Source organism: Homo sapiens, chromosome 1 (genome assembly GCF_000001405.40).
Source record: "Homo sapiens chromosome 1, GRCh38.p14 Primary Assembly".
In the NCBI taxonomy this organism is placed as follows: Eukaryota; Metazoa; Chordata; class Mammalia; order Primates; family Hominidae; genus Homo; species Homo sapiens.
This window is the reverse complement of record NC_000001.11, coordinates 4,670,761-4,688,489: the sequence shown is the minus strand read 5'-3', so window position 1 is coordinate 4,688,489 and position 17,729 is coordinate 4,670,761. Positions and strand designations below refer to the sequence as shown.

Genomic DNA, 17,729 nt, shown 5'->3' with positions numbered 1-17,729 from the left:
CATCAGGATCCTTTCTTTTCCAGAAGTCTATTTTCAGGTTAATCACTTGTTTGTTTTTAAGTGAGAAGCTACACCTTGAATGTTTTCACTACATAAGACCGTGTTTGAATGTCAACCGGAATAGTTATGTTTCTCACAGGTTGCATTTCACCTGAGGACTTCAGTCTCTCTCTCCCTCTCTCACTGTCTCTCTTGGATGACACCAGCCCCGTGTGGTCACAGTGAGTACATGTCCCCACTCCCCCCGCATGCCAATGCCCTGGGCAACATGCCACCAACCTCCGAAGTGTCACTTCCCTCCCAAGACTACGGGGCGCTCCGAGGGACCCCCGTCTCACTGGGGCCACCGCTCCAGCCTCGTCCAGCACAGCCCAGCCTCAGCTGCCCCCTTCCCCATCCTGGCTCCCCACTGCTGCGTCCTCCAGCCTCGGCAGAAACACCTCCTCCCCTGGAGGCCTTCCAGCTCACTGGGACAGGCTGGACCCCAGGGAGAGGTTCTGTGGGCCCTGCTCTTCACCAGTGGCCACTTAGAACTGCAGCCCCTTCCTCAGCTGTGAAGGCTTTGTTCATCGTTGGCCTCCTGTGTGATCTGGGGTCTCAGTTCACCTCTGTGTCCCCAGCACCTCCCACACAGAGGCCTGGCGGATGAAGGAGGCTGAATGAATGAATGAGTGAATGGATGGATGGATGAATGGATGGAGCTGGTGCCCCTGCCCTTCCTTGACACCTCCCTGGGCTGGGCGTTCTGCCTGGGCTGACTCCCTTAGCACGGAGCTCTCGTTCTTCTCAGAGTGACAGGGACGTTCACTCTACGATTCAGTTTGGCACTGAACAGCTGTGGCTCGAGTCATCACAATCCAGGTGCCAATGTCCTATTTTCCTAAAGCAGCCGTAGCCACCAGACAGCAGAACCTTCCACTGTCCTCCCCTGAAACTCCTTGTTCCTTCTCTGTCTTATTTGGTCACATTTGACCTTTGCCCTCCCCATGGACCGCAGGGGTCTTGGTCCCAGCCCAGAGGCTGCCCCCAGGCTGCCCGGACCAAGGCTTGACCTCACGCTGAGCATGACCTGAATCAGTGCTTTGAGGCTGATGGAGGGCGTGCCAGCATTTCTACACATTTTTACACTCCGCTTAAGGGAACGTTATCTCCAAATAACAGCTGAGGCACCAGTCATGGGAGATTGTGGAAACCCATCCACGGCTTCCCAGAATAAACTCTCCCAGGGTCTCACTACATAGCGAGTGCCCATGGTGGCTTTCGAGAGGCGTTCAGGTCCTCAAGCCTGCATTCTGGCTGTGATCATGATTTCTAAAACTAAATTATTGTCCATGTCTATGGAATGGATTCTGTAAAGAGGAGGAAAGGAAAGAGCGAGGAAAAGGCCTACACAGAGGTTGGAAGTAGGGATGGGGCTCCAGGTTCCTGTCCCCATCCGTGGTGAGGACATGGCCTTGCAGGGGGTTGGTTGTGCTCTGCAGCTGGCAGAGGCAGCCCTGGTCAACTTGGGCAGGAAGTGGGCAGCCCAACCTCACGGGCACTCCATCAGCTCTGACCCCTCGGCAGAAGTGGAGATTCCCTTTGCTTGGAGGTTGACATCCTAGAAGCAGGGCTAATAAAAGTGAGTGCATCAGAGAACGGAGGCCACACTGAGAGACTGGAGGGCATGCAGCTTTTGCAGGCTGAAGGGGGCTCACCTCGCTCCAGAGCCAAAGGCCAGGGCCACACTGGCCTCCTGACCTCAGCCGGGAAGAGCAAGCCTTTCTAGAAGAGCTCCATCCACGTGGGCATCTAAGTGACTCTTCCTTTTTATTTCATGGCGTTGAGATCGGAACAGTAACAGTGAGAAATGAATTCCCATTGAAGGCCTCCTGCTCGGCAAAGCTCTGCGGAAGGCTGGCGTGGGCTTATGCGCTCCCGCAGAATTAGTGTATTATCCATAAAGACTGGGGTTTATCATTTTATTTACTTATTGAAGCCGAATAACTATGTATGGGGTGTTCCTTTTGGAGATGGGGTTATTCTGGGAGCCCAAAGAAATTAATGGACTTACCCACGCACTCAGGGAAGAAAAAGAACTTGAACCCAGCCCTCTGCAACCCAGCTGCAGTGCGGCAGAGGAAGGCGGGGCAATCAAGGGTAGGAACTTGAACCTTGAACCCAGCTCATCCCACCTTGATTTTGGACTTCTAGCTGCCAGACCGAGACAACAAATGTCTGCTGTTATAAGCCACTCAATTCGTGGTAATTTGTGATGACTGCACCAGGAATCTAACGCAGTTGTGGTTATTTGTTAAGGAGTTGCTCAGTGAGGAGACACTACTGGCTTCAAGGAAGACGTGAGGATGAGGCCACGTCATTTTGTCAGCAACTATCAACCATCAGCTGTCTCGTGCCTGGCACATGCCAGATACACAGGCAAAACCTCCGAGGAGAAGAAACAGCTCTGCCCTCAAGCCTGCAGTTTGGATTTACTTGCAGAAAACAGGAGATGATCACTAAAGGAAGGGGTCCTTTCAAATTTGGGGTGCATTTGATGGCCACCCAGGTCCCTCTGTCCTCTGACATTTCCTGCCATCCCCAATCCTGACAATGGGCTGCAATGACCTTGCAGAGCCCAGCCCTGCAGCCTCTGGATGACCAGATGGCACCTGACCCCACCAAGGAGGCAGAGGGGAGATTCTACCCAGGAAAGGCCATGGCTTCAGAATGTCTAAGAAGTGGTGAGAAACAGCTCCTGGAAAGAAGGTCCCCCATGGACCCCCCAACGGTGCACCCTAACATGGCGCCAAGGAGCCTTCTTTGTGGAGCTTGCCTCTCCTTCGCTGGGGCAGGGTCTTGGTCTTGGGTCCCGGCAATGAGCTCCTCCAGCAGCAGCTGGAAAACAAGACACTGCGCTGGGTGATCTGTCGATGCCATTGGATGGGATTATGGCTCCTGCCAGGCTCCAGCAAATTGTGAAATACAAATTGTTAGCAGCTTGCAGACCATTTGCAAATAAACCATCACAGCCAGGCATTAAAAGACCCCCTAAATAAGCATCCTCAGGAAGGTAGTGACATGGGAGCTTGTTTATATCCTTTCTATTTGACACTTGTTCCATCAAAGGGAGGCTGTGCTCAGCGCTGTGGAGAGGCTATGCAGGCGGCATTTAAAATGCAAAGATCTGCTGATTTTTCATACGGAATTATACAAATGGAACTGCTCTTCCATTTTATGATTGAATTAGGTAATGTATTGATGGTGCAGAACCAAGGTTATGTCCTTGTTTTCCGTGATTTATGGACTTGGAGCATTTCACAGCTCCTGGTTGTGGACACAGCCATGCACCATCGCTGCATTTCTGGTGCTGAGAAAGCTGGCTGTCACACAGATGCTGGACGCTGGACAGATCAGAGGGGGTTCGGGGCCATGACTGCATCCTCCAGAGAAGCCCTGCTGGGAGAGGAAACTCCAGCAGCAGGAGGGTGCCTTTGTTGTTGGGCCTTTTTTCCTCCTGCCACAGTGACTTATGACAAAAGGCAGAAGACAATGGCTTGGGATCAGGTCTGACTCCATCCTCTGAGGCTGCCAATGGGCCTGGCTTCCCAAGGAAAGAGATCTGCTGGTTCCTTGTGGCCCCTTTGACAGCTCTGGTGGAGGAGGCTGGCACAGGCAAGGGGCTGGGGGAGGTGAGGCAAGTTGAATGGAATCAACGGCGATCCCATTGCATGGAGATGGGGGCTTTAGATCTGCTCTGCCTTTACCAGCAGCGCCCAGACAGTGATACCTTTGTGCCTCAGGGTTCCCACCTGTGAAATGGATAGATGTCTGTCTTGAATGATGTAGGTCCATTTGGAGGCACGTGAGAAGCTGCGAGTGCCTGCAAAAACCTTCTCAACCCAAGATTCTACCCAGGAAAGGCCATGGCTTGAGAATGTCTAAGAAGTGGTGAGAAACAGCTCCTGGAAAGAAGGTCCCCCTGAGAATGTGCTCAAGGTACTCCCTTCCCCTCCCCCAGGTGGCCAGGCTGGCCACAAGGCCGCCCTAGACCTTGCTCCTTGGTCTCTCCTTCCTGTAGCCCATGATGGTGATGACTCAGAAAGCAGGCGCTCAGAACACTCATAAAGGCCGATGTGCAGCTTCCTAGACCCAGGCAGGAGGTGAGCCTCATGGCCTCCTCCTCCCGCCTGCCCCGTGAACTCTTAAACCTGGAGATGTGCTGAGCCAGGAGCCAATGGAATGAACATGGTTTCCACCGAGTAAAATTATCAGCGTGTTAACAGCTGCCCCCCAAACAGCTGGGGATGCATTCCCGCCCTGCACATGCAGACAGCAGCAACATTTGCTCAACCTGGGAGCTTCAGAGACAGGCATGAAACTAAATCTTCCAAATCCATTGAGGTGAGCCCAGATGCACCAACCCAGAGGATCCAAGGGCTCAGCCTTTTCCAGGCCATTCCCGGGGCCCTCTGCTCACTCCCCTCCTTCCTCCATCTCCTTCCTCCCCATTCTTCATGCCTCCCTCTCACCCTGCCCTGTGTGTCTGTGTCTTATGAATGCCTACGCATCTGATGCTCCCTAGGAAGCCCCTCACCATGCATACTCCTCCTCAGTGCCCCCTGCCCTAAGCATCAGGCTTTCTTGACCGTCTAACACTGCACCTGTGCAAGTCCCACCCTGGCCTCTCTGGGGACAGTGATGTTCTTTCCTTGCCCCCTGAGCCCCATCAGTACTCGGGAGCTGGCACACAGGGAGTGCCCTCAAATGGCTGTGGGACAAGTGAGAGGAAGGTGCTGTGACAGCTTGTTTTCAGCCAGGTGAGTCCCATGGAGATCTGAGTCAAGTATATTTGCAAGAGTCCCCGGGGGAAAGACTGTGGGTACCCAGTGCAGGACGAAACATTTTCCTAAAACCCGTAGAAATTCCTTGCCTACATTTCTTTGCTTTCCTGAATGTCTGAGGTCACATTTGCCTTTCCCATATATCAACGTCCCAGTGGACCCACTGAAATGGATGGACAGGCTCAAGGGTCCTGAGAGTTGGGTCCCCAGGCCAGTGGAACCAGCGTCACCTGGAACTGGTAAGAAACGCTTATGCTCAGACCCAGCCCAGACCACTGAATGGGAAACAGTGAGGGCGGGCCAAGGAAGCTGTATTTTAACAAGGCTTCCAGGGATGCTGATTCTGAGCTCTGCGGGTCAAGTGAGACTATCAGCTGATCTTCCCTGGGCACTCTGGGCAGGCCCAGTGCCAGGCACACTGTGGCATTAATCATTTTACTCTTCCCATGCCCCTGAAGGACAGATGTTGCTATTAACCCCATTCTACAGATGAGAGAGTGAGGCACAGAGAAGGGGAGTACTACAACCAAGATTACACAGCAGGTAAGAGTCCAAATTTGAACCCCCACCATCTGACTCTTGCCATTAAGAGTGCTGGATCTCTGGCGAGCAGGGCACTTGGATCCTACACAGTATGTGGCTGGACTCCAAGGGGCCAAGGGCCAACTGGGGCCTGGACTGACATAGCTGGAAAATGGTGCAGGCTTACTCCTTTTGGAATAATCACAATCATTCTCATTATCACCATCATCACCATCAGCATCATCACCATCACCATCACCAACATCATCATCACAATCACCATCACCACCATCACCATCATCACCATCACCAACACCACCAGTATCACCACTATCATCATTATCATCATTACCACTATCCTCATCCCCAACATCATAATCACCATCATCACCACCACCAACACCACCAGTATCACCACTATCATCATTATCATCATTACCACTATCCTCATCCCCAACATCATCATCACCATCATCACATTCATGTCTGAAACCCTACGAAGGGCTCAGCATAGCTCTGGTGGCCATTAGGGGTTGGAGGGAGGATACAGGAACCACACCATGCAGTCTTGGGTAGAGATCACCACTCAGGAAAGAGCAGAAACCAGACCAACTCCATGCAGGAGCCACAGAGCACAGATGGGGACATGAAAACTCAGGGCTGGTGGAGACTTCAGCTGCCAGAAAGAGCTGATAGGGCCTCATGGCTGGGCTCAGAGAAAAGGCATTCTGGGCATAGTCTTGGGTGGAAGTGGGGCCCAAGCATGGTTGTGGGGAGGGAGATGCATAGGGGAAGGTGGCCAAGCTCCACTTGGGAATGAACAAAGCATCTCTGAGGCTTGAGATCAGGGAGCTATTATTTTAGCAACTACAACAGCACTGATCAGGCACCATATGAAGACCATCGATGGGCAGCACAGCCTGCCACATCCACACCTCCATATTTCATGGGTTCTAAGATGCATGCAGCCTGCAAGTTTACCAGCTCTGAAGTTGGGAAATTTGATGTGTGGCCAATTCAAGGCCTCTCAGCATCATCAGTGGACCACAGTATCATTGGTGGACTCTGCATCAGACTCCCTACAGTGATCCCAGCCCTGGCACTTCCTGGATATGTGGCCTTACTATGTTCCTCGTGCTCTCTATGCTTCAGTTTCCTCATCTGTAAAATGAAGATCATTATAGGATTGCTATGAGGATTGACCAGAACTCAGAGCAGCACCTGGAACTGGCAGGCTCCAGAGAAGCTTTCCCAGAGGCTGCTGTCATCCCCTTCATTTTGCAGGTGGGGAGACCGAGGCAGAGATCATGAGTGAATCGCCCAAGTTCATAGAGCTCACCACCGTGCCCCATCAGGTCTGTCTGACCCCAAGCATGTGGCCTTCCTGCACGTGGTCTGCCTCTCCTTTAGAGCAGAGGGGGACAAATCCAGGGTGCACTATTCTGGAGAGACCTTGCTTTGTCCAGTACCTCTGATGGGAGTGAGGCTTGGTCGGAATGAGAAGGAAAAATATTCTGCCTCCAGGCATGGCCTCTGTCTAAGCCTGTGCTCTCTGCCCCAGCTGTACCTGTCTGAACAAGGTAAGCAGAAATGCCCGGAATATGGCCAGAACCTAGCCCTTCTGCAGGCCAGAAGCCCAGAGCCCGAGAAAGGCACACAAATTACTGCCTATGGGCCCTTTCCTAGAACCCTGGCTGCCTCATGGGTCTTCCCAGAGGCCTGCGTCCAGGGTGGGTGTGGCTGGCAGCCCCTGCCTCACTCTGGCAAGCACCCAGCCTCCTTTCCTTGGCCTGGGGCTGGCGAAGGGGGACGCCAACAGTGTGGCCCAGTTGACATTCCTCTCCCTTGCAGTCTGTGGCAATTTTGCACACTGTCCGTGCTGCTGAAAACACGGGCTTCCAAAGGGCTTTACCAAACACTGCGGGCATTTAGCGGGCTGCGGGTTAACAGTGGGGCATTTCATCAAACTGTCTGAAATAACACTTGATGTTTGTCCAGTCTAGACAAAGGGATTTTGTATGGGTTTGGCTGTTTAATCTAAAAACTGCACCTGTCTCTTTGATTTATTTAACTCTTCCCCCCAGGATTTTAAACCAATAACGGGTGCTAGAGAACACTCCATTTCAAACAGAACTTGCTCAGAAGTTTATCTTTGCTATATTTCCAAATCCACCTGAATTCGAATGCCAAAGCCCTATTATTTAGCTCATATATTGTACAAGGTTATAAGACACTAAAATGTAATCCCGCACAGAAATAGTCCATTTCTACTCTACTTCAGCCAAAAGTCCATATAAAAAACACCACTAGAAAGATGTTTGGGATGGAATCAAAGATCATAAGTAGCAATGCGACACTGAACTTCACCATTCTTACTGGAATGGAAACAAATTTTATACATTTATATATAAAAACTCCAGTGCACCTGAAAACACAGCTTTAATTCCCTTTTTCTGGGAAGTCATTTATGCCCAGCATATGTACCAGACTCAAGGGTGGCTTTACATGAGAGATAAGTGGACATCAGTGGCCTGGATGGAGGCCAGCTTTGTAATGGTCATTCATTCACAAACATCTATGGGGCAAGGCTCTGAGCACTACAGGGTAGAAAAGAAAGAAAGCCGGCTGACCCATAACCCAACCCCTACCCAGCCTCTGTCTCCCATAGGAGGGTGTAACTGGGTGGAATTGTGTCCCCCCATGTTCATGTCCACTTTGAACCTCAGACTGTGACCTTATTTTGAAATAGGGACTTTGAAGATGTATTTAAGATGAGGTCATATTGGATCACCATGGACCCTAAATCCAATGACTGGTGAGAGGGTTAATTTTACTTGTCAACTTGACTGGGCTACGGGGTGCCCAGATGTGTGGTCAAAGATTACTCTGGGTGTATGGGTGAGGGTGTTCATGGATAGGATTAACATCTGAATCAGTGGACTGAGTAAAGCTGATTGCTCTTTGTAATGTGGGTGGGCTTCATCCAATCAGATGAAGGCCTGGATAGAAGACTGACAGAGAGGGAACACTCTCTGCCTGACTGCTTTGAGCTGGGACATTGGTCTTTTCCTGCCTTCAGACTCAAACGGAAACATCAGCTCTTCTTGAGTCTCAAGCTTGCCAGCTTCTGAACTGGAACTATAACATTAGCTCTTCTGGTTCTCAGTTCTACAGTATTAAATGAGAGCTTACACCATCAGCTCTCCTGGGTCTCCAGCTGGCTGGCTGCAGATCTTGGGGATTCTCAGCCTCCCTGATCATGTGAGCCAACTCCTTGTAAGTATCTCTCTCTACACACACACACACACACACACACACACACACACACACACACACCCTATTGGTTCTGTTTCTAAGCAGAACCCTGATTAATACAACTGATGTCTTTATAAGAAGAGGCAAGGACACATGTGGATGGGAGAAGGCCATGTGAAGTGGAGGCAGAGATTTGAGTGATGCATCTATAAGCCAAGAAACACCAAGGACTGCCAGCAACCACCAGAAGCTGGAAGAGGCAAGGAAGGATTCTACCCTACAGATTTCAGAGGGAGTATGGCCCTGCCAACACCTTGATTTTGGACATCTAGTCTCCAGAACTATGAGGTAATATATTTCTATCATTTTAAGCCATCCAGTTTGTAGTACTTTATGGTGGCCACATTAATCTAATGCAGACAGCCTGAAGTCCTCAGGTCACTTATGATCTGAGGCCCCTAATAAAGATTCCAGAATATAAATAACTTTCATTCATTCATTCATTCATCACTCAGATATTTCTCCTGTGCCTGCTATTTGTGGGTCTTTGTTCTAGTAGCTGGGGACATGGGACAAAACCCACTGCCCTCCTGGAGTTCAGGTCCCAGGAGAGGAGACAAGCAGGAGAGAATCCAATGTGTAAAGTGCACAGTGGATCCCATGGTGATGAGTACTGTCAAGAGAAATTACTACGTCAGGCAGCAGGTTTCCCAAGTGTTAGGCTGCAGTTTGAAATAGGATGGTTCTCTTCCAAACTTGAGAAAGCTGGCAAATGCATGGCACTGAGCTGTCTCCCAGAGTCCAGGTCTTGGTCAGCAGCTTGCCCCTGGCCTTCTAGGATGAAGCAGTTAAGGGCAGGTGCACCTGATTGTGCAGTTTGAATGCATGCTATGTAGCCTTGTGCAAGTTACTGAACATCTCTGGGAATTGTCTTTCTGAGCTGTGCAATGAGGATTAGGATAGGAGCATACCTACTCGGTTGTTATGAGGATTACATAAGATGTTTTAAATGAGATGCATCTGGCTCACAGTCCTGTTGAGTCAATAAATGTTAGTGATTATTTGGAACTGCCCAAAGAGAGCAAATGACCGCAGTGGTGGACATGCTCTAAGGAGGCAGGCAGGGTCCCCACCTCCTGGTGTTCAGTCTTAGATGGTGCACTCCCTCGAGTGTGGGTGGGACCCATGACTCACTTCTAGCCAACAGGATACAGCAAAGGTGATGATGTTACTTCTGTGATAACGGTACATGAGATTGTAACATCCATCTCGCTAGGGTACTCTCTCCCTTGCTGGCTTATTGTGAGTTCTCATTTGGAGAGGGCTGCAGGGCAAGGCACTGACAGCCAGCAGAAAACAGAGGCCCTCTGTCAGGCAGCCTTCAAGGAAATGCATGCTGCTAACAACCACATGAGCTTGGCAGTAAATCCTTCCCCAGTTGAGCCTCTGATGAGATCACAGACCCGGCCAACATCTGGTTTCAGCCTTGCACAGGGCCCAACTAAGTTGTGCCCAGACTCCTGACCCAGGGAACATGTGAGATAATATGTATGAGTTGTCATTTGTGAATGAGCAGTATGTAACCAATAGATAGTAGTGCACACTCCTAGACCAGATTCACTCATATTTGTGATACAATTTCAAGTGCTCATTTCTACCCAACACCACTCTAACTGCTTCACAAATATTTGTTCTTCTTCAACTGCACCCAAAGGAATGCTATGAATTTCAGGCCACAGGAAAGATTCACAAGGGAGATGGTAATTCAACACAGTCCCTAGCACTGGCCAAAGGGACACCCTGCTGCAGTCTTGCTGGCATGGCTTTCTCTGCTGTATGTGGGAAATGCATCAACCCACCCCACTGGGGGCTGCTGTACCCACCATCTGACGGCACCAGGGCTGATCGACATCCTCTACGAGCCACCAGGAAATGTGCTACTCATGAACATAACAAGCACTCCTCCTCACCTGATATTTATATGTTTTACGAAAATTAGTGAGTTGGCATTCCAACTGGAAGCAATAGTTGGCTCCAGCACCACAATGGACAGAGAAAGGAACTGTGTCATTTTCATCACCTATGAGATATATTTAGCTACTGGCTTCTGATGACCTCAACACATAGGCACATGATTTTTTTTTTTGAATGCACATCATTTTCATTCGGAGCATTACCTGGAATATCATCTGCCCCATATGAATACCCGCTGGCTGACTTTTTAAGAGTTTCTCCTGCACACCCTGGCTTTATGCCCGCTGAATGGCAAGCCTTGGTTTCAGATGTTAAATTTTTTTTTAATCCTTCCTTCCCTCCTTAATCCCTTCTCTGTCATCTGCTTGGCGTCACAGAGTGGACCCAGAGAGAGGTGGAATCCCCTCTGGAAAGAGGAGAGAAAAGCCGCTGGCCAGCTCCTGTGGAAGCCCTCCTGCATTTGAAGAGTTTATTTACTACAAATAAAAGCAATTAATTAGCCGGGCAGCTGTACACACAGGGCAGCCTCTCTATTCGTGGAATCAGGGATGTGTGAGGTCAGAATCCTCAACCTTTAGGAGCCCTACAAAGCGAGAACTTGCAGGCAACTGCAGCCCACCCTGACTGTCTGCTGGCGGGTCCCCCTTGGCAGCATCCCAGCCACATGTCACTTACCCAGACTTACCAACCTCTGATCATGTGAAATTCATAGCATCGCATTAGAGGCATTTGGGTTCATTGCTTTTCTTTTATTTTTTGAGACGGATTCTCACTTTTGTCGCCCAGGCTGAAGTGCGGTGGCACGATCTCAGCTCACCGCAACCTCCGCCTCCCAGGTTCAAGCAATTCTCCTGCCTCAGCCTCCCAAGTACCTGAGATTACAGGCACACGCCACCACACCCAGCTAACTTTTGTATTTTTAGTAGAGACGGGGTTTCACCATGTTGACCAGGCTGGTCTCGAACTCCAGACCTCAGGTGATCCACCTGCCTCGGCCTCCCAAAGTGCTGGGATTACAGGCGTGAGCCACGGCCCCTGGCCATTTTATTTTCTCTTTGAAACTCTGTAGCCAACAGCATTGCACATGTTCTTCCCACTCTTGGCAAATTCGAGAATGCAATACCCCTTTTGGCATCTACAGGCTAAAAACTTCAAGTGGCTAATTCTGTGCCACCTGTCCCCCTTGGTGCAAATACTGAGAGCAAAGATCTGTTTGAGAGTATGTTGTCCCCAAAGGCCAGATGACAGATGAGCTGGGCACCCGACAATCCAGTCTCCCTCACTCCCGTCCCCCCATCATCTCCTGATTACTTTGTGGGCTGGATTTCCCAAGGAACGGCCCCTCTCTCTCAGTCTCACATGATTTCAAAGCTGACTTCCCAGAGTCCCTGAGGCAGCGTTGGTTTCACTGTTTCTGAGAAGGGGTAATGCAGGTGGCTTCAGGCCCCCAGGACGACGAGAGCTAGGGTCAGAGTCTAACCAAGCCAGCTGGACCGGAAGCTTCACGTTCTGTGATGCACCCAGATGTGTTTCAGAAGCGGGTGGCCTCTTCTGGATTTCTTTGCCAAAGTTTGGATTCTACTGATTTGTCGTAAATAAACTCAATTTTCACTCCCTTCACACAAATCATCTTTTTTTGGAACTGGTTAAAAAAAATAAAGAATGCGCAAGTACATGGAAGATGAGGAAATCGGAGGAGCGTGACTAAGACACTAGCCCCAAAAATGACACGAGGAGGCAAGGCCGGTGCACACTGGCCTCTGCAGCAGTGGGCATCATGAACTCGCCGGGGATCCTCTCCCAAACACACGGAGCATCCAGGAACCAGGAAAGAGGAGATGCACAAAACGAGTAGCAAGCTACCTAGAGAGAGGCCGTCCCTGCACGAGGACACAGAGCTGGGAGCCCACAAGACGGGCTTCCTCCTAAACGTGGGCGTCCCAGCCCCTGCAGGAAGGCGAGCAGACTCCACGCAGCTTCTCTGCAGCAACTCCACCGTACCCTCCAGAATGTCTTCCTTAGCGGGAGAGAAACCACTCACCATCCATCTTCTCTCCTAAAATTTCCGCCCACACCATCTTCAGGGCAGGTTTAACTGGCCTGGGCTACACCATTATCAACTGTAGAATAATGTGAGGCACCTGGTCGCTGGTGTAAACCAGATTGTTTAGTAAAGAACTTTGCCCAAGAGAGGTCAGACCTTTGCCCTGGGCTCCTGGAAGGCATCTCTGGGCCCCTGGAATGTCCTGCCTGATAAGAATTTCTGTGTTTGCCTGGGGGCCTTGGCCACCATACAGTCGAGCAATGTGATTTAGGCTAGAGGCTTTGGGTCAGATGGTATCTGCTCCATTTCCCAAGGGGCAGGACACTGAGGTAGGCCACATGGTCATTCAACCAGGTCTATGTTAAGAGGCCCCAGTAATAAACGCTCGGGACACCAAGGCCAGGGGCTTCCCCGGCTGGCAATGCTCCCTGGGCACTGTCACTCACTGTTGCCAAGAAAGCAATGTATCCTGACCTCAATGGGAGAGGATGGCCGGAAACTCCATGCGTGGATCCCTTCTGGCCTCTGCCCCACGCGTGTCTTCCCTTGGCTGGCTTTCATCTGTGTCTTTTCCTTTTAATAAACCATTACTGTGAGTATGACGGCTTTCGGTGAATTCTTCAAGTCCTTCTGGTGAATTATTGCAGCTGAAGGTGGTCCTGGGGACCCCTAAACACTGCAGTTGGTGTCAAAAGTGGGAGTGGTCTTGTGGACTACTCCCTCTATCCTCACACAAGCCCACACCCATTGCTGGCCTAGGGAGGAGAGGAGGGCACGGGTTTTGCTCTGTTTCCCCCCCACCGCTCTCCAGCCCTGATGGCTCTGACCACTGCCCTCCTGGGCTTCATGGCAAAGGGACAGCATTCTCAAGCCTGCAGGACGACGGTTCAGCCAGTGCCTGAGACGACTCCTCCATGGCCACATGGCAACGTGACTCACGCCCTGTGCAGAATCTCTGTTTGAAAACGCTGAATGTCAAAAAGGAAGAGCAGAGGCAGGCAACAAGACAGAAATAGGCGCGTGCAGATGAAGCAAGGCTTTCGTTTGCATGGAACTTTCTGCCAGAGATCCAAAACACGAGACAAGCAGGCAGAGCAGAATGCTGCCTGCTCACTCTGCCCTGGGCCCCGACCGATCCCTCAGAGAACTAGAGCTCTGAGAGCTTCCCACTGAACCAGAGCCCAGGAAAGGGAGGCCCCAAGACCAGCAGCTGACAGCCGCAGCACCAGCCACTCCTGAAGGCCTGGCCAGCCACTCCTGGTGCCTACCCAGCTGCTGGGGCTCAGGGACCTCCTAATATGAAAGCCCCCTCCGTATTTCTGCTTCTGCACTGACCTCTGAACCTAAAGCAGGGGTCGTTGACCTTTGTCTGAAAAGGCCCAGACAGAAAATGTTTTAGGCTTTGCAGGCCGTTTTCTGTCACAACCACTCAACTCTGTCCTTATGAAAATCAGTGGGCATGCCCCTGTGCCAATAAAACTTTATTTGCCAAGTCAGGCAGCCAAGGGCCATGGTGCCAATAAAACTTTGTTTACAAAGTCAGGCAGCCGTGGGCTGTGATGCCAATAAAACTTTATTTACAAAGTCAGGCAGCCACAGACTGTGGTGTGCCAACCCCTGACCTAGAGAACAGCAACTAAAGCTTAACTAGAGCTCAGTGAAGCCTCCTCTCCAGGGCCCTCTCCTGCCCACTGCCCTGCCTTCTTGGCCGATTTGCAGTCTCTGGAAATCGGGTGGCCAGATTTAACCAAAATATAGAATGCCCAGTAACATTTGTATTTGAAAGAAACAATCCTTTTTGTTCCTTTTTTTTTTTTTTTTTTTTTTTTGGTGGCGGGGGGGATAAGCCTATCTCATGCAAAACCTGGAACATAGTTATACTAAAATACATTTGTTTGTCTGAAATTGAAACAGAACCAAGCATCCTGTTTTCTTTTATCTGGCAGCCCTATTTGGGAGTAATGAGGTTCAATTCATTTCACGGAGACCCTGACTTCTCGCTCCTGGCTCAGGAGTAAAGCCTCTCCAGAGCCCATGACTCGTATAAAGCCTTGATCAGAGGACAAGAAGAGTCACATCTAAAACGCTGAGAATGAATTCATTTATTCATTGACCAAGCCAGAGCCAGAGCCAGGACTCGCCCTCATCTGGCCAATTCCAGAGACACAAAGCCAGGACATGCCCTGGGAAGGCTGCCTGGCCGCGTCTGTGTCCACAGCCCCGGCACACAAGCAGCCTCATGACCCCTGCTCCCTCCACACCTCCAAATACAAAGTGCAGGAAGGAATGAGTCAGTGGAGGCTCCCATGCTGGAGCAGAGCTGTGGAGGGCACCATACCGGGTCCCCAGAGTTTTAGTGGGACTGGGTTGAAGGCCTGCCCACATCTCACCTGTTTACAATTGTCCCAACACTAATTTTGGAAACAAGCATGAGCTCTTGTTAGAAGAAAGACAGAAAGAGAACAGAGAAAGAGGGATGAAGGGCAGGGGAGGGGACGGGAAAGAGAGAGGAAATGAGAAAGTGTGAGAACACTGGGCCGTCAGTGGCACCTCACTCATGCATCCTGTGTACTTAGATAGCTAACTATTGAATTAGTTAGCTATTGCTGCATAACAAACTACCCCAAACACAGGAGTGTAAACACCCCCCCAACCCCACCTATGAGCTCACAGTTCCATTGGTGAGAAGACTAGCTGGATTCTCTGCTCAGGGTCATCTCACTGGGCTGACATGAAGGCATTGGTGGGGCTGTGTCTCCTTCTGGAGATCTTGGGGAAGAATCTGTTTCCAAGCTCATTCAGGTTGTCAGCAGAATCCAGTTCCTTGTGGCTGTAGGACAGAGGTCCCACCTCGACTGGAAGCACTCCTTCATCTTCAAGCCAGCCATGATGCTGTGTTGATCCTTTTTAAGTTTCAGATCTCTCAGGCCACCACCCTCACCCTCCTGCCCTCATCTCTATCTCCTCTTCCACCTCTGCACCCAAGGACTCCGGTGATGACACTGGACCCACTGGGAATAATTGAGGATGATCTCCCTACGGAAGGGTCAATAGATTAGAAATCTTCCCTACCTCTGCCAAGTCCCCTTTGCTGTGTGGGGTTATGGATTAAGGGGTGTGGTTTCACATCCTGCTCACAGCTCTGGGGACAGGGATGGAATCTGCCTGGGATCCCACCTTCTCACTCACACAGCCTGGATGCACACACTGGGAGGGCGGTGGAGCACCAGGCAGACCCAGCCACCATTCCCTGGAAGTGACTTTGCAGACAGCTCAGGAGTGCAATGGAAGGGCCTCTATCCTGGGTTCTGGTCCACAGGAAAGAGCTGCCTGGGAGCCTCCTGAGGACTTTATGCCAGACAGTGTGGTCCTGGGATCCCCAAGCTGAGAATTTCCCCATCTATATAGAAGCAAAACACAGGGGCTTGAAAAGAAATAGGAAATATCAGCATGTCATGTGGGCACAGTGTATGCAAAACCAGTCTTCCATCACTGTAATGCACCCAAGATGAAAGTACCTGGCTGTGTCTCCGTATTCATGACTGTGGCCCTTCAGGGCTCCTAGCGGAATGGTTGTTTCATTTTTGTCTGATATGCTTGGCGCTCCTTCATGGTGCAGTGATTTGGGGTCCAATAACTTCAGTGACATTTGGTGGCAATAAAGTCCAGCTCTACAGGGCCCAAGTGACTCCCGACCGCTCCCTCCTCCCAGTCCATTCTTGAGCAATTCACAACAATCCCAGATAATAATACACACCCCGGGGAGACAGCAGCCTCCTTACTTTACATGTGTGTGTTACGACATGATTCACAAGCAGCTCCGTGAGTCTCAGACGCGACTGCGCCCAGGCTGATAGGCGCCCCGGGATGGTGGGTGAGGGTCTGCAGGGCCCTGTGAGATAAGGAGAACAGTGTGCCTCACAGCTTTCCTTTTTGAAAGTCTGCTCCTACTGCAACGCCTGAGAGCAGTGGGGACACCTACACAGCAGGTCCCTGGCTAAACCACGACAATAAAAGCAGGCTCTGACCAGCTTCCTCGTGAAGCACCTTGTTTCCATTAATTACATTTTCTGGTTACCCAGGGATTCCATTTTGCTCAGTCTTTGGATTTACAAAAGCAGGAAAAATAATGGGCCTATACCTTTCAGATTAAAAGCAGGGCTAACAAGGTTTCCACGTCAACAGGTCCACATCATTTGATGAATGGGGATATGGCAGTCACAGGACTGGAAGAGGTGTGTGAGGAAGAATTGCTAGAGTTGGTGGGTGCATTTGTTCCTGGTGGTGCATTTGTTCCCGGTGGTGCATTTCCTCCTGGTGGTGCTCAGGAAAACTGAGCTGTCTGGGGCCTGTGGCTCCATACCTTTGAGACAGAAAGACCACAGGGCCCTGGGCTCTAAGTGGGCTGGGGACAAAGGGAGGTAATGGATGCAGTGCACATGCCACAGCATCATGTCCTATGTCCTCCTGACAATCAGCTGCCATTCTTTTTTTTTTTTTTTTGAGGCAGAGTCTCGCTCTGTTGCCCAGGCTGGAGTGCAGTGGCGCAATCTCAGCTCATTGCAACCTCCTCCTCCCAGGTCCAAACAATTCTCCTGCCTCAGCCTCCCTAGTAGCTGGGATTGCAGGCGCCTGCCACCATGCCCTGCTATTTTTTGCATTTTTAGTAGAGACAGGGTTTTACCATGTTGGCCAGGCTGGTCTTGAACTTCTGACCTCAAGTGATCTTCCCACCTCGGCCTCCCAAAGAGCTGGGACTGCAGGCATGAGCTACCGTGCCTGGCCTGTGATGCAGACTCTAAAAGACCAACACATGCGCCTATTACAATCACCTATGTGGAGAAATGATGAGACAACACAGGATAACAGCTTAAATGACTTGCATGATAGCAAATCCCTTAGAAGGGCCTTGAAGGGCCACAGCCCAGGCACAGCCAGGTACTGAAGTCTTGGGTCTGTTACAGTGATGGAAGACTTTGTTTTTACATGCTTTCCAAAAACAGAAATGTTTGTTGTCATTTGCTCTGTTCCCTCTCCTCCGGAAGGGAAAGGGAAGAACATTCTGGAACACTCTGGAAAACTGTGTTGCAGTTAATTTGCTTAATTTCACT

At 50.6% G+C, this 17,729-nt stretch overlaps 1 protein-coding gene across 3 annotated transcripts in view; it reads right to left on the bottom strand.

The window, feature by feature from the left end:
• AJAP1 (adherens junctions associated protein 1) overlaps positions 1 to 17,729 on the bottom strand; it is a 137,926-nt gene that overhangs the window by 104,045 nt on the left and 16,152 nt on the right. The gene's annotated exons all lie outside the window — the stretch shown is intronic.